This window comes from Homo sapiens, chromosome 9 (genome assembly GCF_000001405.40).
Source record: "Homo sapiens chromosome 9, GRCh38.p14 Primary Assembly".
In the NCBI taxonomy this organism is placed as follows: domain Eukaryota; kingdom Metazoa; phylum Chordata; class Mammalia; order Primates; family Hominidae; genus Homo; species Homo sapiens.
The window spans coordinates 128,504,136-128,528,097 of NC_000009.12; the positions used below are offsets into that span (position 1 = coordinate 128,504,136).

At 45.1% G+C, this 23,962-nt stretch overlaps 1 protein-coding gene across 10 annotated transcripts in view, besides 2 other annotated features; it reads left to right on the plus strand.

Moving 5' to 3' along the window:
- Positions 395-604: a silencer, noted in NCBI's record as "silent region_20344". NCBI's record gives its function as "represses an Ori minimal core promoter by ATAC-STARR-seq in GM12878 lymphoblastoid cells {active_cell/tissue: GM12878}" and the evidence as "EXISTENCE:reporter gene assay evidence [ECO:0000049][PMID:35858748]".
- Positions 557-23,962, plus strand: part of GLE1 (GLE1 RNA export mediator) — a 37,597-nt gene continuing 14,191 nt past the window's right edge. For 2 of the 10 annotated variants that reach the window (NM_001411013.1, NM_001003722.2), the window contains exons 1-9: positions 584-769; positions 4,741-4,962; positions 11,394-11,504; positions 18,533-18,681; positions 19,145-19,205; positions 19,457-19,711; positions 21,057-21,288; positions 23,044-23,156; positions 23,321-23,390. In NM_001411013.1, coding sequence (NP_001397942.1) covers positions 671-769; positions 4,741-4,962; positions 11,394-11,504; positions 18,533-18,681; positions 19,145-19,205; positions 19,457-19,711; positions 21,057-21,288; positions 23,044-23,156; positions 23,321-23,390 — 1,312 coding nt within the window. In that variant the 5' untranslated portion in view covers positions 584-670. Of the gene's footprint in view, positions 1,839-3,080; positions 3,206-4,740; positions 4,963-11,393; positions 11,505-18,532; positions 18,682-19,144; positions 19,206-19,454; positions 19,712-21,056; positions 21,289-23,043; positions 23,157-23,320; positions 23,391-23,962 lie in introns of those variants that run through there. The other 8 variants (XM_006717060.4, XM_024447519.2, XM_047423234.1 and 5 more) reach the window with 8 other exon arrangements.
- Positions 825-984: an enhancer, noted in NCBI's record as "active region_29084". NCBI's record gives its function as "activates an Ori minimal core promoter by ATAC-STARR-seq in GM12878 lymphoblastoid cells {active_cell/tissue: GM12878}" and the evidence as "EXISTENCE:reporter gene assay evidence [ECO:0000049][PMID:35858748]".

Consider the following 23,962-nt stretch of genomic DNA (forward strand, 5'->3'; position numbering starts at 1 on the left):
GTCTGCAGGAAAAAACTTGCAGCTGGCTGGGTCACAGGGCGGTCAAGGCACTCTGATACTTGGTCAGTGCACAGAAAGCGGGGGAACTCGGGAACCGCGCACATAGTACTATATTTTATTTATCCATTCACCAATGGATGGACGTTTGGGTTGCTTTCACTTTTTGGCTATTATGAATAACACTGCTGTGAACATTCATGGACAAGTTTTTATATATACATAGGTTTCATTTCTTTGGCGTATTTTATATATATATATATATTTACCTAGGAGAATTGCTGGGTCAAATGGTAATTGTTTAACCTTTTGAGGAACTGCCAGACTGTCTTCCACAGCAGGTGCTTCATTTTACAGTCCCATGAGCAGTGTATGAGGGTTCCAGTTTCTGCACAGTCTCAAGGCACAGACAAATTTTCAGCAGCCCCGGGGATTGGGAGCGGTGGTTACCTCTGCGGAACGTGCCCCGACAGCCAAGCCCTGCGCGCAGGCGCACTGGTGGGAGGGCGGGAACGCGGGAGCGTCGCCGGAGGTGGGGCGTGCAGGCGTTAGGGGCGGGGCTGTGCTGCGCGCGCGTCCCGGAAGCAGAAGCCTGTGTGGCCTTCCCGGCGGCTGATTCGAGGGCTTGTTTGGTCAGAAGGGGGGCGTCAGAGAAGCTGCCCCTTAGCCAACCATGCCGTCTGAGGGTCGCTGCTGGGAGACCTTGAAGGCCCTACGCAGTTCCGACAAAGGTCGCCTTTGCTACTACCGCGACTGGCTGCTGCGGCGCGAGGTGAGCGGTGGCCCCGGAGGACGTAGGCCTTTCCGGCCCCTCGCGACCGAAACCTTCTCCCTAGCCGTTGGCACGTTCTGCTCCCGGGAACCCGTGCAGTCTAACAACCTGCATTTATTTCTTGACTTCTGTGTGTACATCCCTCTGTCCTGGGGTTTCTGTCCTCTTCAGCCTATTTTAGCGTTTCGGGGAGCTCCCCTGACTTCACAGGTGCCCCGCGCTCTGAAGGCTTCATTGCTACCCTCCGCCAGTTGGGCGCCTTCTCCGTTCTGCTGTTGTCAAAGCAATCTCGGCCCCAGGTTCAGTTAACTTACTGTATGTCTCATGTGCTGGGAGCTCTAGAGTTTGCGACGAACGATTGACACGACCTAATCCATTGCTACTAGTGAAATGACCAAATTTTTAGATTGATTTGGCAGACCTGGAAAGTGAATGGGGGCGTGGTCACCGTACCTAGCATTTGCAAAGCTCTGCGCGAGAAGTGGAGGGATGTGGAGAGTTAAGGCCGAGCTCCCATTCCCGAGTCGCTGCTAGTTAGCTACAGATAAGGCGTTGTCCTGCATCCTCAGACTTCTTGGGAAACAATCCTAAAGTATTTCCCTGTCTTTTATGTTGTTGACAGTTTTGAAAAATACAGACCTTACATTCTGTAGGTTGACTGCCAGCATATGTGCTTTCAAACCACCAGACCAAGGTTAAGCATTCTTGGCAGGAATACCACAGAAATGATGCCATGGCTTTCTCAGTAAGTCACATGAGGAGGCACACAGATGTCAACCCATCCCAACACTGGTGATGCTAATCTTGATCACCTGGTTACGTTATTATCTGCCTGGTCTCTCCGTTTAAAATTCGTCATTTTTCCCTTAGTAATTGTTGGGAAGTAATAATACCAGTATCCTTTTTTCTGGGCAAACCTTAATCCTCCATGGCTTTAGCATTCATTGATGTTTTCCACATGAATCGATACCTCTATGACGTTGCCAGATCCTGTTTCTTTATATCCGCTATTCCTTCTGCATTTGTTAGTTGGCATTCTACTGTAAGGAGGTGCTTTCTATTTTATTCAGTGAGTTGTAATCCATTACTTTTATTATTTATTTATTTTATTTTAAATGTCCCAGATTTTGTAAGCTTGTATCAAAATAATCACATGCAAGGCTAGGCGTGGTGGCTCAGGCCCGTAATCCCAGCACGTTGGGAGGCCGAGGGGGACGGATCACTTGAGGTCAAGAGTTCGCGACCAGCCTGGCCAACATGGTGAAACCGCATCTCTACTAAAAATACAAAATTAGCCGAGCATGGTGGTGCATGCCTGTAATCCCAGCTACTCGGGAGACTGAGGCATGAGAATTGCTTGAACCCTGGAAGCAGAGGTTGCAGTGAGCCGAGATTGTGCTGCTGCACTCAAGCCTGGGTGACAGAGTGAGACTGTGTCTCAAAAAAAAAAATGTAGCCTTGTAAATATGTACAACAATTATGTATTCATAAGAATTAAAAAGAAAAATGTCCCAGATTTGGCTACTGGGCACCTCATTAAGTTGGTTCCTGTGTTCCTGTGACATATTTCCATCTTTCATTGACATTTCTTTACTTTTTGACACAAAAAGATGTCCCAGGTGCAAGTTTCCCTGTCTTAATCCTGGAATCAGCTATTTCTCCAAAGAGGCTGACTCTTTTGAAGTGGAGGATGGTGCTGTATTGGCAAACCAAGATCTGGGAGTTGAGTGTGTTGAGATTCTTGATTGGGTACCATTGCTTCTAGGCCTTCTCAGTAGACAGAGCTAGGAAATAATACATATCTAAATATGTACACACATCACCACACACACATTTATGTACTGTCTATTTGTGTGTACATATATATTATAAAACCATGACTTCATACTGATAAATGCCACTTCCAACCCAGCACTTCACTTTTCTTTCTAATCTTACCCCATCCATGTTTGTAAATATGTTACCTAGCAGTGAGAAGTTTGGCTCCTGTTATTCTCAATATGTTTACTTATTTGCTCAATCAGTTTACTTTATCTCATTGTAGCAATCTCTGAACTACTCTAGTTTTTTCATTTATTTATTATATCATAGGTAATCAGTACTTATTTTCTCATACAAAGATGTTCCACGCTCATCTTATATTTTTCTGCCTCCAGTTCTGGAACTTACCTTTTCTGCAGAGACCCCTGGTTTCCTTTGATTTAAAATTATATTTACAAACCAAGATCTGGTACTAGATATGCTCATTATTACTACTAAGGGTGTATACATACATATCCATATCTATTTCTATTTTTTAAAATATTATTAGGCTGGTTGTGGTGACTCATGCCCATAATCCCAACACTTTGCGAGGCTGAGGCAGGACGAGTGCTTGAGGCCAGTTCAAGCTGGGAGCCAGGCTTGGTGTCTCACACCTGCAATCCCAGCACTTTGGTAAGTCAAGGTGGGCAGATCACTTGAGCCCAGAAGTTCGACACCAGCCTGGGCAATGTGGAGAAACCTCACCTCTACAAAAAATACAAAAAAATTAACCAGGTGTGGTGGTGCGTGCCTGTAGTCCCTGCTCCTTGAGAGGCTGAGGTGGGAGTATTACCTGAGCATGAAAAGTTGAGGCTGCAGTGAGCCGTGATCACGCCACTGCACTCCAGCCTGGGGAACAGAATGAGAGCCTGTCTCTCAAAAAAAAAAAAAAAAAAATAGTCGGGCGTGGTGGCTCACGCCTGTAATCCCAACACTTTGGGAGGCTGAGGTGGGTGGATCACCTGAGGTCAGGAGTTTGAGACCAGCCTGGCCAACATGGTGAAACCCTGTCTCTAGTAATAATACAAAAATTAGCCGGGTGTGGTGGTCGACACCTGTAATCCCAGCTGCTCGGGAGGCTGAAGCAGGAGAATTGCTTGAACCCGGGAGGTGGAGGTTGCAGTGAGCTGAGATCGTGCCACTGCACTCCAGCCTGGGTGACAGAGCAAGACTCCATCTCAAAAAAAAGGCTGGGCACACAGTGGCTCACGCCTGTAATCCCAGCACTTTGGGAGGCTGAGGCGGGTGGATCGCCTGAGGTCAGGAGTTCGAGACCAGCCTGACTAACATGGAGAAAACCCCGTATCTACTAAAAGTACAAAATTAGCCAGGCATGGTGGTGCATGCCTGTAATCCCAGCTACTCAGGAGGCTGAGGCAGGAGAATCACTTGAACCTGGGAGGTGGAGGTTGTGGTGAGCCAAGATCGTGCCATTGCACTCCAGCCTGGGCAACAAGAGCGAAACTCCATCTCAAAAAAAAAAAAAAAAAAGACCAGCCTGGGCAACATATCAAGACTCCATCTCTATAAAAAATGAAAAAATAATTAGCTGAATATAGTGGCGCATGCCTGTACTCCCAGCTGCTGGGGAGACTGGTTGAGGTGGGAGGATAGCTTGAGCCCAGGAGGTCAGGCTACAGTGAGCCATGATTAGGTCACTGCACTCCAGCCTGGGTAACAGAGTGAGACCCTGTCTCAAAAATAATTAATTTTAAAAATGAAAAAATATATACATCTAGGTTTGTGTAAGGATGCTTTACGATACTCGCACAATGACAAGATCACCTAACCCTGTGTTTCTCAGAACTTACCCCCATTGTTAAGTGACTGACATTCTACTGATTGTGTATACAGTAGCTTACTTCAGAATTCCTCGTGTTCTGTTCAGTGCTTTAGATTGCTTTCACATATGCTTTAGTGGGAATCTTTGTGCATTGTCCCTTTTTCTGTAGTTAGGGTTATTTAGTCTGATTTTCATTAGAAGGATAGTAGTCTAGGTCATTATCAAGAAACCACTGTACTTTGTTTTCATCTGATTGTTAATACATTACTTTGGGTCTTTGATGTTTATTTATTTAGGCCTTCTTAGATGTTCAGTAAGGCATGTAGTGGATTATACTGAGAACAGTTGACGTGTAAGTTGAGCTTAACCCTATTCTTTTCTCTAGGATGTTTTAGAAGAATGTATGTCTCTTCCCAAGCTATCTTCTTATTCTGGATGGGTGGTAGAGCACGTCCTACCCCATATGCAGGAGAACCAACCTCTGTCTGAGACTTCGCCATCCTCTACGTCAGCTTCAGCCCTAGATCAACCCTCATTTGTTCCCAAATCTCCTGACGCAAGCTCTGCCTTTTCCCCAGCCTCCCCTGCAACACCAAATGGAACCAAGGTAAGGTTGTGATCAGCTTAAGACAAAAGACATGGTGGCTGCAAAGTCAAAATGTTTAATATTGTCATATGACAGTGACCATACCCTAGGGGAAATAATGATTGCTCATTGTTGTAGCTGTTGTAGAGACAATGTTGACAGCACCATTCAGTGTTCTCTTTAGACAGATCCAGAGGGAGAAAAATCCCCTCTATTCTTAGTACCGAGAATAGTATAACTAATTTCATGAGCAATTGGATTTTTTTTTTTTTCTGATGAACGCTGCGTCTGTTTAACTGATATGGTCTCCCTTTTTGTGTTATCTGCTGGAAGAAGGCTTAGAGTGAAATGTATACCTTCTCTTTAAGTTTACATGCCTTCTCTCATTGGTTCTGTAGGAGATTTTACCCTATTCCTGGCTCTGTTTTGTCCCTGCCTCTGTTTTTTTGTTATTTCTCCCACTTAAAAATGCTAAACTGGGGCCATTTCCTCTCAGAAGACCCCTCTCTCTCACTAGAGAGAGAACTATTTTCCTTTCTCTTTCTCTTGCCTATTAAACCTCCACTCCTAAACGCAAAAAAAAAAAAAAAAGTTAAATTGGACCCAACACAGTGGCTCATGTCCATAATTCCAGTGCTTTGGAAGGCCAAGACAAGAGGATTGCTTGAGCCCAGGAGTTCAAGACCAGCCTGGGCAACATAGTGAGACCTTGTCTCTCCAAAATACTTAAAAATTGGCTAGGCATGGTGGCTCGAGCTTGTTGTCCTAGCTACTTGGGACATTGAGATGGGAGGATCACTTGAGCCCAGGAGTTTGAGACTACAGTGAGCTGTGATCAAGCCATTACATTCCAGCCTAGGCAACAGAGTGAGTCCCTATCTCAAAAAAAAGTTAAATTTTGGAAGTTTTTTAAAATTACTTTTTATATACTTCTAGAGGTAGTTTGTGTATATACAAATATACGTGAACATGTCTTCTTCTTCACCCTCCCTTTTTTTTGAGCTGAGGTCTGTCTCTGTCAACCAGGATGGAGTGCAGTGGCATGAACATGGCTCACTGCAGCCTCCACCTCCCAGGCTCAATCCACCCTCCTGTCTCAGCCTCCCGAATAGCTGGGACTGCGTGTGGACACCACCATACTTGGCTATTTTCTTTTTCTTTTTTTTTTTTGAGACGGAGTCTTGCTCTGTCCCCCAGGCTGGAGTGCAGTGACGCAATTTCAGCTCACTGCAACTTCCGCCTCCCGGCTTCAAGCGATTCTCCCACCTCAGCCTCCTGAGCGGCTGGGATTACAGGCACCCACTATCACGCCCGGCTTATGTTTGTATTTTTAGTGGAGATGGTGTTTCACCATATTGGCCTGGCTGTTCTCAAACTCCTGACCTTATGATCTGCCCACCTCGGCCTCCCAAAGTGCTGGGATTACAGGTGTGAACCACCACACCCAGGCTTTTTTTTTTTTTTTTTTTTAAGATGGAGTCTAGCTCTGTCACCCAGGCTGGAGTACAGTGGCATGGTCTCGGCTTACTGCAACCTTTGCCTCCTGGGTTCACGCGGTTCTTCTGCCTCAGCCTCCCAAGTAGCTGAGATTACAGGTGTGCGCCACCATGCCTGGCTAATTTTTGTATTCTTAGTAGAGACAGGATTTTGCCATGTTGTCCAGTCTGGTCTCAAACTACTGACCTCAGATGATCTACCCACCTCGGCCTCCCAAAGTGCTGGGATTATAGTCGTGAGCCACTGTGCCTGGCCAGTTTTTTTTTTTTTTTTCTTTTTTACATAGAAAGTATTTTTTTTCTATCTAGTAGTTCATCTTTTAAAATATTAGTCTTTAAAAAATATTCTTTGTGGCCACGTGTGGTGGCTCACACGTGTAATCCCAGCACTTTGGGAGGCTGAGGCAGGTGGATCACTTGAGATCAGTAGTTCGAGAGCAGCTTGACCACAGTGAAACCCTGTCTCTACTAAAAATACAAAATTAGCTGGGCGTCGTGGCGCACGCCTGTAATCCCATCTACTTGGGAGGCTGAGGCACTAGAATTGCTTGAACCCGGGAGACGGAGGTTGCAGTGAGCTGAGATCATGCCATTGTACTCTAGCCTGGGTAACGGAGCAAGACTCAGTCTCAAAATATATGTATATATAGAGACTGAGTAAATAATAACAACAAAATAAATAATATATATATTATAAATATACATAAATATATATATTTATGTTGATTTTGTTGTTGTTGTTGTTGCCAGAAAAGGTCTAGGTACTTTAAAATATATATTTTTAGCAACTGAACGTCTTAAGGAAAAAAAGGAACCTCCACCTAAATGTCATACCTTATATAAAAATTAACTTGGCCGGGTGCAGTGGCTCACGCCTGTAATCCCAGCACTTTGGGAGGCCAAGGCGGGTGGATCACTAGGTCAGGAGATCAAGACCATTCTGGCTAACACGGTCAAACCCCTTCTCTACTAAAAATAAAAAAAAAAATTAGGCGAGTTGGCGGGCACCTGTAGTCCCAGCTACTCAGGAGGCTGAGGCAGGAGAATGATGTGAACGCGGGAGGCAGAGCTTGCAGTGAGCTGAGATTGCGCCACTGCACACCAGCCTGGGCGACAGAGCAAGACTCCATCTCAAAAAAAAAAAAAAATTAACGTGATCATGGACTTAAACATAAAAAAAAAACTGTAAGCCTTTTAGAACTAAAACATAACCAGAATCTAGGGCTGGGTGAAGATTTATTTCTTTATTTATTTTTGAGACGAAGTCTCATTCTTGTCCCCCAGGCTGGAGTGCAATGGTGCAATCTCGGCTTAATGCAACCTCCGCCTCCCAGGTTCAAGTGATTCTCCTGCCTCAGCCTCCCGAGTAGCTGGGATTATAGGCGCCTGCCACCATGCCTGGCTAATTTTTGTACTTTTAGTAGACGGGGTTTCACCATGTTGGCCAGGCTGGTCTCGAACTCCTGTTCTCAGGTGATCTGCCCAACTTGGCCTCCCAAAGTTCTGGGATTACAGGCGTGAGCCACCAGGCCCGGCCTGGGTGAAGATTTATTTATTTAACATTCCTGAATTAGCAGAACTGTAGAGAAGGAGAATAGCTTAGAGATGAGGGATGGGGGAGGAAGTGGTGAGGCTATAAATATAGGTGTGACATGGGGTGGTTGGTGGTGATAGAACAGCTTTGTATCTTGAGTGTGGTGGTGTTTACATGAATCTACATGTGATAAAATTACATAGAACTATACATAAGCACAAATGAATGCCTTTAAAACTGGTGAAATCTGAATAAGCTCTGTGGATTGTACCAATATCAATTTACTGGTTTTGTTATTTTATTGTATTTATGAAAGACATTACTATTGGGGGAGACTGGGTGAAAAGTACATGCGACCTTCCTGTATGTATTTTTGCAACCTTCTGTGAACATTAATTATTTAAAAATTAAAATTTTTAAAAAGTATTTTTATGAGCAGCTTCTTGGCAACAGATTCTGATCTGATCCTGCCAATATTGTGGCGTGCCCTCAGGTGGGCCTCTTTTCCTCAGTGGACTTCAGTGTCTTTATCTGTAAATCTCATTCTGGACCAAATTGCTGAGGTCTTTTTTTTTTTTAATATGGAGTTTCGCTTTTGTCGCCCAGGCTGGAGTGCAATGGCGTGATCTCGACTCACTGCAACCCCAGGTTCAAGTGATTCTCCTGCCTCAGCCTCTTGAGTAGCTGGGATTACAGGCACGCGCCACCATGCCTGGCTAATTTTGTATTTTTCGTAGAGACGGGGTTTCACCATGTTGGTCAGGCTAGGTGACCTCAGGTGATCCACCCGCCTTGGCCTCCCAACATGCTGGGATTACAGGCATGAGCCACCGTGCCCAGCCCGAGGTTATTTTCACGTATAAAATTCCGTAATTTTTGGAGCCACTGCGCCTGGCCTAATAAATTATTAAATGGTTTTATGTAATGGATTGTCACATTATTTAGGAATTTTTGGTATTTACGTAAGAAAAACCCAGTTTGGCTTAAGGGACTGAGGGAAGTATTAATTAGTTCATGTAACTAGGAAGTCTAGGAGTGCATTTGGAATCACCTAGATCTAGGAACATCTACATTCTGCATCTTTCTGCTTGACATTATTTATTATTATTTTTCAAACATCTCCCCCACATAGGATTGATTATTTTTGACTCAATCTAGTGTCCCAAACATGGGGCTTTGCCTCTCCATTTCTCAGTTATTGGTTTCATTGTTGAGATAGATTAGGTGGCAAGATGGCTACTGGTAGCCCTGGACTCAGCATCTTCTTAGGTTAGCATTCCCAGATAGCTTCATCAGAAAAGTTCAAAGATATCCATGTCAGGTGTGTTAATGAAAATAAAAAAGCTGGGTGTGGAATCCCAGGACTTTGGGAGGCCAAGGCAGGTGGAACATTTGAGCTCAGGCATTCGAGACTAGCCTGCGCAACATGGGGAAACTCCATATTTACAAAAAAATTACCTGAACATGATGGCTCATGCCTACGGTCCCAGCTACTCAGAAGGCTGAGGTAGGAGGATCCTTGATCCTGGAAGGTCATGGCTGCAGTGAGCCTAGATAGCACGACTGTATGCCAGCACGGGTGATAGAGTAAGACCCTGTCTCAAAAAAAAAAAAAAGAAAAGAAAAAAGGCGGGGTGCGGTGGCTCACGCCTGTAATCCCAGCACTTTGGAAGGCCAAGGCGGGTGGATCACGAGGTCAAGAGATCAAGACCATCCTGGCTAACATGGTGAAACACCATCTCTACTAAAAATACAAAAAAAATTATCCTGGCGTGGTGGAGGGTTCCTGTAGTCCCAGCTACTTGGGAGGCTGAGGCAGGAGAATGGCATGAACCCGGGAGGCAGAGCTTGCAGTGAGCCGAGATTGCGCTACTGCACTCCAGCCTGGGCAACAGAGTGAGACTCCATCTCAAAAAAAAAAAAAAAGAAAAAGAAAAAGAAAAAAAATAGGCCAGGCATAGTGGCTCATGCCTGTAATTGTAGCACTTTGGGAGCCTGAGGTAGGAGGCTTGCCTGAGACTAGGAGTTTGGGACCAGCCTGGGCAACATGACAAAACCCTGTCTCTACAAAAAAATACAAAAATTAGCCAGGTGTGGTGGCGTGCGCCAGTGGTCCCAGCTACTTGTGAGACTGAGGCAGGAGGATCAATTGAAGCTGGAAGGTCCAGGCTGTAATGATCCGTGATCACGCCACTATACTCCAGCCTGGGAAACAGAGTGAGATCTTGTTTCAAAAAAAAAAAAAAAAAAAAACTTAGAAAAGTTCAAAGATGAACTCTGGCCTTCAGGTCATATTTTTCATTCCTCAAGTCCATACTGGGTGTAGGAGGATAGCAGACTTTTTTTTTTTTTTTTTTTGAGACGGAGTCTCTGTATCCCAGGCTAGAGTGCAGTCGTACGATCTCTGCGCACTGCAAGCTCCACCTCCCAGGTTCACGCCATTCTCCCGCCTCAGCCTCCCGAGTAGCTGGGACTACAGGCGCCCGCCACCATGCCTAGGCACGTGCCACCATGCCCGGCTAACTTGTGTATGTTTGGTAGAGACAGAGTATGTCTTGTGTATGTTTAGTAGAGACAGGGTTTAGTAGAGACAGGGTATGTCTTGTGTATGTTTAGTAGAGACAGGGTTTCACCATGTTGGTCAGGATAGTCTCAAACTCCTGACCTTGTAATCCGCCCACCACAGCCTCCCAAAGTGCTGGGGAAAAAGGTGCCTGGCCTTTTTTTTGAGATGGAGTCTTGCTCTGTCGCCCAGGCTGGAGTGCAGTGGCGCGATCTCAGCTCACTACAGCCTCCGCCTCCTGGGTTCAAGGGATTCTCCTGCCTTAGCCTGCCTCCTCAGTAGCTGGGATTATAGGTGCGTGCCACCACGCCTGGCTAATTTTTGTGTTTTTAGTAGGGACGGGGTTTCACCATGTTGGTCAGGATGGTCTCGAACTCCTGACTTTGTGATCCGCCCACCTCTGCCTCCCAAAGTACTGGGATTACAGGCGTGAGCCACCACACCCGGCCTGAGGATAGAGTACTTTGATAGCCAGCTTTCTCCTGAAGCCAGGAGGATGGAAGCTTAGGGATGTAGGTTGGGGATACTCCATCCAAAGCATCCCAGGATAAATGGACACTGATCTGAAGAAAGGGGAAACATTTTCTAGGCAGAGTAAAACAAACAAGTCAAAAAAAACATAGAAAAACCCAAAAAATCACCCAAAGTAACAAACATCAATTTATTAAAGAAAACAATTAGAACAAAGTCAATGTCATTCATGAAAAGCACACTAGTTCTGACCTAAATTTTTTTTTTGCTCTTGTTATTGGTGGTTGTTCATAAGTTGGGATGTGGTCTTTGTCTAGAAGAGATAACACCAACTTTACCATATTAAAAACTTATTTTTTAATTATTTTTCCATTTTCTGCTCATATAGGGCAAAGATGAGTCCCAGCACACAGAATCTATGGTACTTCAGTCCTCACGGGGGATCAAAGTGGAAGGCTGCGTCCGAATGTACGAACTGGTACACAGAATGAAAGGAACAGTAAGTGAACCCATGAAGGAAGGCAGCCTTGATCCTGCGAGCCACATTTAACTGCAGTTCCCCAGGGCGTAGGAATGGGCACTGTATGCTACTCATCCTTCCCACCTACTGTTTAGTTTTGGGGGTAGTGTAATAGAGGTCAGGAGTGAGTGCTCTGAAGTCAAGTCTGGTTTCAGATCCTGGCTGTTACATTTTACATGTGACTTTGGGAAAATTACTTAGCCTTTTCTGGCTTCCATTTACTTCTCCAAAATTTGGAAATGGTCTGGGATTGTTAGATAAGCTTATTCTGAGAAAATGGGACCTTAGCCTCTTTTTTTTTTTTTTTGAGGTGGAGTTTTTGCTCTTGTTGCCCAGGCTGGACTGGACTACAGTGGTGTAATCTTGGCTCACTGCAACCTCCACCTCCCAGGTTCAAGTGATTCTCCTGCCTCAGCCTCCCAAGTAACTAGGATTACAGGCTCGCGCCACCACACCCAGCTACTTTATTTTCTATTTACTAGAGACGGGGTTTCACTATGTTGGTCAGGCTGGTCTCGAACTCCTGACCTCAGGTGATTCACCTGCCTCAGCCTCCCAAGGTGCTGGGATTACAGGCATGAGCCACGATGCCCAGTCAGGACCTTAGCCTCTTGAAAAAATAGCAGCACTATTTTAATTAATTTATTTGATTGTATTTTGTTTTTGTTTTTGTTTTTGAGATGGAGTCTTGCTCTGTTGCCCAGGCTGTAGTACAGTGGCACCATCTCGGCTCACCGCAAGCTCCGCCTCCCAGGTTCATGCTATTCTCTTGCCTCAGCCTCCCAAGTAGCTGGGACTACAGGTGCCTGTCACCACGCCCAGCTAATTTTTTGTATTTTTAGTGGAGACAGGGTTTTGCCGTGTTAGCCAGGACGGTCTTGATCTTCTGACCTCGTGATCTGCCCGCCTCGGCCTCCCAGAGTGCTGGGATTACAGGCATGAGCCACCGTGCCCGGCCTGTTTTTTGTTTTTGTTTTTTTGAGACAGAGTCTTGCTGTTGTCAGCCCGGGCTGGAGTGCAGTGGTGCAATCTTGGCTCACTGCAACCTCCGCCTCCTGGGTTCCAGCAATTCTCCTGCCTGAGCCTCCCAAGTAGCTGAGATTACAGGCGCCTGCCACCACGCCTGGCTAATTTTTGTATTTTTTAGTAGAGACGGGGTTTCACCGTGTTGGCCAGGCTGGTCTCAAACTCCTGACCTCAGGTGATCCACCCACCTCAGCCTCCCAAAGTGCTGGGATTACAGGCATAAGCCACTGCGCCCAGCATGTATTTTTTTTTAATTAGGAAAGCAATGCATGATCTTGTAAAAATGTTTCAGAGTACAGGAATTTAGAAAATGAAAGTCTTGGCCAGGCACGGAGGCTCATGCCCGTAATCCCAGCACTTTGGGAGGGTGAGGCAGGTGGATCACCTGAGATAAGGAGTTCCAGACTGGCCTGGCCAACATGGCGAAACCCCATCTCTACTAAAAATACAAAAATTAGCCGGGCATGGTGGCACATGCCTATAATACTAGTTACTGGGGAGGCTGAGGCAGGAGAATCACTTGAACCCGGGAGGCAGAGGTGGCAGTGAGCCAAGATTGTGCCACTGCACTCTAGCCTGGGCAGCAGGGCAATACTTTATCTCAAAAAAAAAAAAGAAAAAGAAAATGAAAGTCTTCTAACATCTTGCCTCATTGGTCATTGAGTCAATAAATATTTGCTGAGCACCTATGTGCTAGATGCTGTTCCAGGTCTAGATAAAACAGTAAACATTATAGACATAGAGCTTATATTGTGGTGGGAAGAGACAGAAGTAAACAAGAGAAATAAGTAAAATATTTGGAACATTGTTGTAATCTGGGTGAAAGATGGTGGTTGCTTAGAGTAGGGTGGTAGCAATGGAGATGGTGAGAAACGACTAATTCTGCATATCAGAGTTGTTTTAATTCAAAGATTTATTTCCTGCATCTTTGGAAATTTTTCCCCTTGATTAGTTCACCTCTCCATTGCCTAAGTTAATCCTCTATATGTCCTATTCTTTCTTTCATTTTCCTTTTGTCTTATTGTTTTGTTTTCTAGAAGATTTCTATATTTTATTCTCCACCTGTTGATTGAAAAAATATATATGTATTTATTATGTCTAATTTTCATGAGTTTTTTTGTATTCTCCACTTCTTCCTTTTTCAGAGCATCTTATTCTCATTTCTTATCATATTCAGAGCTCTTTTTCAGATTCACTTGTGTTCCTTGATATACATGTCCTTCTGGATTCATTATTTTTTATTTGTTCATCTTGATCCCTTTTAGGATATAGAGATTCCTCAGTTATCTAAAGATCCTTATTGCTAGTAATCAGATCAGAGATTCAAGGGGAATAATCAGAAACAAGGTTATTAAGCTTTAGGACTTCCTAAGTGCCAGCATATTGTTTTGGAATACTAGTTCCCATACTGATTAGCTGTTTCTGGACAGTTTATTCATTTTCTTAAAAAAAACTCACGTGCCTGGCCTATTTTTTTTTTTTTCCGTATTCTGTTAGTCACGGTAGTCATAAAGTCCACTCAGGTTGAAGTAGAGGGTATGGAAGGATTGTCAGACAATTTGCAGATCTGTTTTAAAATCATTACAGCACAGGGCCGGGCCTGTTGGCTCACACCTGTAATCCCAGCACTTTCGGAGGCCGAGGCAGGCAGATCACTTGAGGTCAGGAGTTTGACACCAGCCTGGCCAACACAGTAAAACCCTGTCTCTACTAAAAATACAAAAATTAGGCAGGCATAGTGGTGCACGCCTGTAATCCCAGCTACTCAGGAGGCTGAGGCTGGACAATCACTCGAACCTGGGAGGTGGAGGTTGCAGTGAGCCAAAATCGCACCACTGTACTCCAGCCTGGGTGACAGAGTTGAGAATCCGTCTCTAAAAAATAAAAAATAAAAATAAAATAGCTGGACATGGTGGCTTGCACTGGTAATCCCAGCACTTTGGGAGGCCGTGGTGGATGGATCACGAGGTCGGGAGTTCGAGACCAGCCTGGCCAACATAGTGAAACCCCGTCTCTACTAAAAATACAAAAATTAGCCAGGCATGGTGGCAGGCACCTGTAGTCCCAGCTACTTGGGAGGCTGAGGGAGGAGAATCGCTTGAACCCAGGAGGCGGAGTTTGCAGTGAGCCAAGATTGCACCACTACACTCCAGCCTGGGCGACAGAGCGAGACTCCAAAAAAAAAAAAAAAAGCTGGGCACTGTTGCGGGAAGTCAGGGACCCCAAATGGAGGGACTGGCTGAAGCCATGGCAGAAGAACATGGATTGTGAAGATTTCATGGACATTTATTAGTTCCCCAAATTAATACTTTTATAATTTCTTATGCCTGTCTTTACTGCAATCTCTAAACATAAATTGTAAAGATTTCATGGACACTTATCACTTCCCTAATCAATACCCTTGTGATTTCCTATGCCTGTCTTTACTTTAATCTCTTAATCCTGTCAGCTGAAGAGGATGTATGTCGCCTCAGGACCCTGTGATAATTGCATTAACTGCACAAATTGTAGAGCATGTGTGTTTGAACAATATGAAATCTGGGCACCTTGAAAAAAGAACAGGATAACAGCAATGTTTAGGAAACAAGAGAGATAACCTTAAACTCTGACCGCCGGTGAGCTGGGCAGAACAAAGCCATATTTCTCTTCTTTCAAAAGCAAATGGGAGAAATATCGCTGAATTCTTTTTCTCAGCAAGGAACATCCCTGGGAAGGAGAATACGCGCCTGGGGGTAGGTCTATAGATGGCCCCCTGCATGTGGCCGTCTTTTATGGTCTGTAGACTGTAGGGGTGACATAGACCCCAGTCTCCCATAGCGCTCCCAGGCTTATTAGGAAGAAGAAATTCCTGCCTAATAAATTTTGGTCAGACCGGTTGCTCTCAAAACCCTGTCTCCTGATAAGATGTTATCAATGACAGTGGTGCCTGAAACTTCATTAGCAATTTTAATTTCACCCTGGTCCTGTGGTCCTGTGGTCCTGTGATCTCGCGATCTCGCCCTGCCTCCATTTGCCTTGTGATATTCTGTTACCTTGTGAAGTACTTGATGTGTGTGACTCACACCCTATTCGTATACTCCCTCCCCTTTTGAAACTCCCTAATAAAAACTTGCTGGTTTTACGGCTTGTGGGGCATCACAGAACCTACCGACATGTGATGTCTCCCCCGGATGCCCAGCTTTAAAATTTCTCTCTTTTGTACTCTGTCCCTTTATTTTTCAAGCTGGCCAATGCTTAGGGAAAATAGAAAAGAACCTACATGACTATTGGGGCAGGTTCCCCAATAGGGCACCCGTGGCTTACACCTGTAATCCCAGCACTTTGGGAGGCTGAGGCGGGAGGATCACAAGGTCAAGAGATCGAGACCATCCTGGCCAACACTGTGAAACCCCGTCTCTACTAAAAATACAAAAATTAGCTGGGCGTGGTGGCACATGCCTGTAAACCCAGCTACTTGGGAGGCTGAGGCAGGAGAATCGCTTGAACCTGGGAGGCGGAGGTTGCAGTGAGCCGAGATGGTGCCAGTGCACTCCAGCCTGGGTGACAGTGTGAGACTGTGTCTCCAAAAAATATATATATATATGTATATATGTGTGTATATATATGTGTATATATGTATATATGTGTATATATGTATATGTGTGTATATGTGTATATGTGTATATATGTATGTGTGTATATATGTATATATGTATATGTGTATATATGTATGTGTGTATATATGTATATATATGTATATATGTATATATATGTATATATATATAAAAAATACAATAAAATCATTATAGCACAAATGCTTGGCTCTTGGCTGTTTTGATCTAATGACTAGGGGAAGACAGCAAGAGTTGACTGTTTTGTCTACAAACATTTAGCCGGTAGCTCCGTTTTCAGCCTGATGAGGCCCACCTATATGAGTCGTGGCATTTCCCAGTCTTGAGACTCTGCAGTTCGGCTGGTAGATTGGCTTTCTGCTCCCGTGAGGCATCGTCTGCTTCTCACACACATCGTGTGTGTGTGTGTGTATCCTTGGGTTTTCTCAGCTCTGCTCTATCATTTATTGCTTCTCCACTATTTTTTTTTTTTTAAAGACAGGGTCTCGCTCCGTTGCTCAGGCTGGAATACAGTGGTGCAATCACCGCTCCTTGCAGCCTTGACCTCCTGGGTTCAGGCATTCCTCCTACCTCAGCTCTTTCTGCTTTCTAAATAACTGGGACTGCAGGTGTGCACCACCACAGCCAGATAATTTTTAAATTTTTGGTAGAGACGGGGGTCTCTCTGTTGCCCAGGCTGGTCTCGAACTCCTGGGCTCAAGTGATCCTCCCACTTTGGCCTCCTCAAGTGCTGGGATTACAGATCTCAGCCAGTGCACCTGGCTATTTCTCCACTGACTGTTTTCCAGAAGTATGTAGAAGATTTTTCCCTGCTGGTGACATCTCTCATGCTCTATGTGGTGTTATGTCTTTTTTTTCTTTCCAATTCTCACTTTAACAGAGTCCCAGAGGAGAGGACATATATGCTTGTTTAGTTTGCCTTCTTTCGCTGGAAGCTTTAAAATAAGTTTTAAGACTGGGTACAGTTGGCTTATGCCTATAATCCCAGCAGTTTGGGAGGCCAAAGTGGGAGGATAGCTTGAGATCGGGAGCTCTAGACCATCCTGGGCAATATAGTGAGACCCTGACTCTATAAAAAATTTAAAAATTAGCCCCGTGTGATAGTGGACACCTTTAGTCCCAGCTACTCAGGTGGCTGAGTTGGGATGATCCCTTGAGCTCAGGAGTTCAAGGCTGCCGTGAGCTATAAGTGTGCCACTGCACTCTAGCCTACATGACAGGGTGAGACCCTGTCTCAAAAATAAACAAATAAACAAAATAAAATATAATTATGTTTTAAAATAAAATAACATAATGTCTTAACAGTAGATTTTGACATATCTCCATGCTAGCTGGCATCTCGTCATCTTTAAGGGCTGCATAGTATTCTGCAGTATGACTGTACTATAATACGTGTCGTCATTCCCCAGTTAAGTGGTTTTAAATGTATTGCTGTTATCAACAGGGCTCCAGTGAGCATTCTTGTACATATATCTTTGCACACACATACAAGCATTTCCTCAGGATAAATTCCTGAAATGGAACAAGTGTCAAAGGATATAGACACTTCAAATTTTGATAGTTAAAATGTCAAATTGCCTTTAACCATATGTGAGTACTCTCATGAAATGATAAATTCAATATCTGATACCCTTAGGTACTAAGGAAAAGGACTTTCCTTAGTGGAGGTCCAGGAGAAAATCTTCGAGGCAGAGATTAACAAAATCAGTGAGATAGGAATGTGTATAGCTTGTTTATGGAATTAGAATGAGGATTTCCGTAAATTACCAATGAACCCCATAAGACTACACAGGATGGAAGCTTAATAGTGCATGGCTGTTTGATGTCATGTTGCTAAATTCCTGTCCGTTCCCAACTTGTACTGGAGTGACATAAACCATATGGGGCAATTGGAAGAGCTTTCCAAAACAGCTGAGCTTAAAGATCAAGCAAAAGGAGAAAGGATATTCCTGCAAAGGTTCTGATTCCATGCCCTTAAGTATCTCTGATGGTGTTAGGGGCCGATGGGCAGGTAGCCCGCAGGGGTAAATGATCAAGGTGTTGAAGGCGCTCCAGAGAGCAGGTGTTAAACATTTTCGGCCGGGCGAGGTGGCTCACGCCTGTAATCCGAGCACTTAGGGAGGCCAAGGCAGGCGGATCACAAGGTCAAGAGATCAAGACCATCCTGGCCAACATGGTGAAACCGTCTCTACTAAAAATACAAAAATTAGCTGGGCATGGTGGCAGGCACCTGTAGTCCCAGCTACTTGGGGAGCTGAGACAAGAATCGCTTGAACCCGGGAGTTGGAGGTTGCAGTGAGCTGCACTCCAGCCTGGCGACAGAGAGAGATTCCATCTTAAAAAAAAAAAAAAAAAAAAAAACCTTTTCAGGAGGGCCTGAGGCTATGGCAGGAGGAGCAGGAGAGGAAGGTGCAAGCCCTCTCGGAGATGGCATCTGAACAACTGAAGCGGTTTGATGAATGGAAGGAACTGAAGCAGCATAAAGAATTCCAGGACTTGCGGGAAGTAATGGAGAAGAGGTGAGTCTCCCTGAATTATGACTGGGAATGTTGATGTGTTCAACTGGAACTCTTTCCCAAGAGGAATTCCAAAGGGAAAGAGTTGAACAACTTCTGAGTCCTTAAATATCAAGGTAAAATAGGCAGAGAATTTTATAACCTGGAAAAAAGACCAAACTTGGAGAGACAACCAAAGGAACACAAAGAGGGAGGCTTTTAGGAGAGGTAAAACAATTTTACGGGCGTGGTGGAACACAGCTGTAGTCTCAATTACTAGAGAGGCTGAGGCAGGAGGATTGCTTGAGTCCAGGAGTTTGAGGCTGTGGTGAGCTATGCTCTGCAGCCTGGGCAACATAACGAGACCCCATCTCTAAGAAAAAGGGAAGGAAGGGAAGGGAGGGCAGGGAGAGGGAGAGAAAAGAAAGAAAGAAAAACAATTTCAGGAAGTATCCCTGACTATTCCTCCCTGCCATTTTTCATGCAGCTCCAGAGAAGCCTTGGGACACCAAGAGAAGCTAAAAGCTGAGCACCGTCACAGAGCAAAGGTCAGAGCCTGGCAGAATTGGTGTGGGTGTTTTGGTGTCTGTCTGTAACCTGCCTGGAGAGCCAGGTTTTGGCAGATGGCCACCATGGAGGATCTGGGCCGTATTATGCCTGTGTATGACTAACCTTGGGATGTCCTCTTCCTGCTCTGAGCCCATCTGTGAAAATATGTAGCCCACGTAGAATTTGAGGACTGTAGAAAGAAGAAGCCCAGGAACCCCTCAGAGAGAAGTCACTCAGCCCTTTTCTACAGATTCTCAACCTGAAGCTGCGGGAAGCAGAGCAGCAGCGCGTGAAGCAAGCAGAACAGGAGCGGCTTCGGAAGGAAGAAGGCCAGATCCGCCTGCGGGCCCTCTATGCTCTGCAGGAGGAGATGCTGCAGCTCAGCCAGCAGCTGGATGCCTCTGAGCAGCACAAAGCCCTGCTTAAGGTCGACCTGGCTGCCTTCCAGACCCGAGGCAACCAGCTGTGCAGCCTCATCTCAGGGATCATCCGGGCCTCTTCAGAGGTGAGGGGGGCTTCAGAGTGACTCTTTGCTGTCTTTGAAATGGAAGCCTTTAAAAGCAAAACTGTTTTCTGACTTAAAAAGTAATACCTGCTATCTGCTTATTGGGGGAAATACCAAACATTACTTGTTATCTCCATATCTCTTTACCTAGAAGTAACCACTGTTAACATTTTATTTTGTTTCTTTTATTTATTTCTTTATTTTTATACCTGCTTATTCTGGAGTCTTTTTTTTTTTTTTTTTTTTTTTTTGTGATGGGGTTCCCCTTTGTCACCCAGGCTGGAGTGCAGTAACACAGTCTCAGCTCATGCAACCTCTGCCTCCCGGGCTCAAGTGATCCTCCCACCTCAGTCTCCTGAGTAGCTGGGACTACAGGCGCATACCACCATGCCCTGCTAATTTTTGTATTTTTTTGTAGAGACAGGGTTTTGCCATGTTGCTCAGGCTGGTCTCTAACTCCTGGGCTGAAGTGATCCCCCTACTTCGGCCTCCCAAACTGCTGAGATTACAGGTGTGAGCCACGGTGCCAAACTTTTTTTGTTTCGTTTTGTTTTTAAATTAGCAATAGAGATCTCACTATGTTTCCCAGGCTGGTCTTGAACTCCTGGGCTGAAGTGATCCTCCCACCTTAGCCTCCCGAAGTATTGGGGTTACAGGCACGAGCCATTGTACCTGCCCTGTTTCTTTGCTTTGCTTTTTTTTTTTTTTTTTTTTTTTTTTTTTGAGACAGGGTCTCACACTCTTGCCCCGGCTGGAGTGCAGTGGTGTGATCATGGCTCACTTCAACCTCCGGCTTCCAGGTTCAAGCGATTCTCGGATTACTTGAGGCTAGGAGTTCGAGACCAGTAGGTTTCAGCCAACATGGTGAAACCCAGTCTCTACTAAAAATACAAAAATTAGCTGGGTGTGGTGACGCACACCTGTAATCCCAGCTACTTGGGAAGCTGAGGCACGAGCAGCACTTGAACCTGGGAGGCAAAGGTTGCAATGACCGAGATCTTGCCACTGCACTCCAACCTGGGCAATGGAGATTCTGTCTCAAAAAATAATTATTATTATAATAAAACAGTATTATTTTTGTCTAACATATTGTCACAAACTTTTTAAAAAATTACGCTGGCCCTTGTTGCTGAGAATACAGACCAATTTATACTTAGAAACTATGGATGTGACAGTAAGTTGGAATTATTAATACCTTTAAGAGAACAGGGAAAGAAGTATCAATTCGTTGAATGTGGATACTCCATTGGTGCAACAATTCCAATTGCAGGAAATTTATTGACTTGTATGAGGTATGATTTACCTAGGGAATGACCACTAAGCACCATCTCCGTCACTCTGACAGAGCAGCTATCCCACAGCAGAGAGTCAAGCTGAGGCTGAGCGAGCTCTGCGGGAAATGCGGGACCTCCTGATGAACTTGGGGCAGGAGATCACCAGAGCCTGCGAAGACAAGAGGAGGCAGGATGAAGAAGAGGCCCAGGTAAAGCTGCAAGAGGCACAGATGCAGCAGGGACCAGAGGCCCACAAAGAGCCCCCAGCTCCCAGCCAGGGCCCAGGAGGGAAACAGAATGAAGGTGGGTTTCAGTATGGATGTGGTCCTTTAACTCGTAAGTTTCAAATGTGAAGAGAAACAAGAGCATGTTTTGAATGTTGTGTTAAACTGTAGGACAGTTAACCAGAATTTTATGTAATGTATTTCATTCAGTTTTGGTTGATGTAGAGTCTGATTTACGATTCCAACACTTTGCGTGAGGACTTGAAATTCTGTATAACTCTAGCAGATACATTATTTCAATTATTGCTGCTGCTGAGTATTTTAAATAAATGCGCACAGATATGTGTTGGTGTAATACGTATAAGGGGTCAGGAGTTCGAGACCAGCCTGGCCAACATGCCGAAACTCCCATCTCTACCAAAAATAAAAAAATTAGCTGGGCATGGTGGCACGCACCTGTAGTCCCAGCTACTCGGGAGGCTAAGGCAGGAGAATTGCTTGACCCAGGAGCTGGAGGTTGCAGTGAGCTGAGGTGGTGCCACTGCACTCCAACCTGGTGACAGAGTGAGACTCCGTCTCAAAAAAAGAAAAAGAATCAGTGTACCATAGTGTTTGAGAGTGCTGACTCTGGAGCCAGATCAGTGGGAGTCTGGTTTTTGTTGTTGTTGTTGTTGTTGTTGTTTTTTGCGGGGAGGGGATGGAGATTTGCTCTTGTTGCCCAGGCTGGATTGCAGTGGCGCGATCTTGGCTCTCTGCAACCTCTGCCTCCCGGGTTCAAACAATTCTCCTGCCTCAGCCTCCCGAGTAGCTGGGATTACAGGTGCCTGCCACTGTGCCTGGCTAATTTTTGTATTTTTAGTAAAGATGGGATTTCACCACGTTGGCCAGGCTGGTCTCAAACTCCTGACCTCATGATCCACCCGCCTCGGCCTCCCAAAATGCTAGGATTACAGGTGTGAGCCACCGCACCCAGCCTGGGAGTCTAATTTTTCTTTTTTGGTGTGTTTTGTTTTTGTTTTTGTTTTTTTTGAGACAGAGTTTTGCTCTTGTTGCCCAGGCTGGAGTGCAATGGCACAATCTCAGCTCACTACAACCTCCGCCTCCCAGGTTCAAGCGATTCTCCTGCCTCAGCCTCCTGAGTAGCTGAGATTACAGGCATGCACCACCACACCTGGCTAATTTTTTTGTATTTTTAGTGGAGACGGGGTTTCTCCATGTTGGTCAGGCTGGTTTCGAACTCCCGACCTCAGGTGATCTGCCAGCATTGGCCTCCCAAAGTGCTGGGATTATAGGCATGAGCCACTGCGCCCAGCGTTTTTTGTTTTTTGTTTTTTTTTTGAGATAGGAGTCTCACTCTTGTTACCCAGGCTGGAGGAGTACAGTGGTATGATTATGGCTCACTATAGCCTCACCCTCCCAGGCTCAAGTGATCCTCCCCACTCAGCCTCCCAAGTAACTGGGACTACAGGCATGCGCCACCCTGCCTGGCTAATTTGTGTATTTTTTGTAGAGATGGGATTTCACCATGTTGTGCAAGCTGGTCTCAAGCTCCTGGGCCTGTCTTGGCCTCCTAGAGTACTGTAATTATAGGCGTGGGTCACCACACCCAGCCTTAGTTTTTCTACTTAGTAGTAATGTGACCATGGCAAATCACTTAACCTTTTTGTGCCTGTTTCCTTTTCTATAAAATGGAGATAATAATAGTATCTATTTCATAGTTATGGTGACAGTTAAAGCAGTCAGTACATACATAAAGTGATTATAACAGTGCCTGCCTCATATTACATGTTCAGTAAATACTAGCTATTACTAAAACCTCTCTTTTATTTCTCAGACCTCCAGGTGAAGGTACAAGACATTACAATGCAGTGGTACCAGCAGCTGCAGGATGCTTCCATGCAGTGTGTGTTGACCTTTGAGGGCCTGACCAACAGCAAGGACAGTCAGGTAGGGGAGAGGTATATGGCAGTAATTTTGTGGACTTGATGGTTCTCAGAGAATGATCACTTCGTGTCCCAAAGGAATGTAGCTGGCATGTCACTTTACCTGATTCTAAGTGACATCTACTCAGCTCTTCAGAACACTGCTTTCTCACTGTTCTCTTCTGGCAGGCCAAAAAGATAAAGATGGACCTCCAGAAGGCTGCTACCATCCCAGTGAGCCAAATCTCTACCATTGCAGGTTGGTCAGAGGGGTTGAGAACATGACCTTTCATTTCATTGTATTATCTTTCAGACTCCAAATCTATGTATCTGTAAGGTTCCTATAAAAGTATATTCAAACAAATGTTTACAGTTGGATCGGGTACATATAAGTGACATACATCTTGTTTCCCTGATATAATCATGGCTGGGCTCACGCCTGTAATCCCAGGACTTTGGGAGGCCGAGGTGGGCGGATCACGAGGTCAGGAGTTCAAGAGCAGCCTAACCAACATAGTGAAACCCTGTCTCTACTAAAAATACAAATACTAGCTGGGTGTGGTGGCTCTCACCTATAATGCCAGTTACTCAGGAGGCTGAGGCAGGACAATTGCTTGAACCCAGGAGGCGGAGATTGCAGTGAGCCGAGATCACACCACTTCACTCCAGCCTGGGTGACAGAGCGAGACTCTGTCTCAAAAACAAAAAAAGAAGACTCTTTTTTTTTTCTTTTTTTCTTTTTTTTTTTTTTGAGACAGAGTCTTGCTCTGTCGCCCAGGCTGGAGTGAAGTGGCGTGATCTCGGCTCACCGCAAGCTCCGCCTACCGGCTT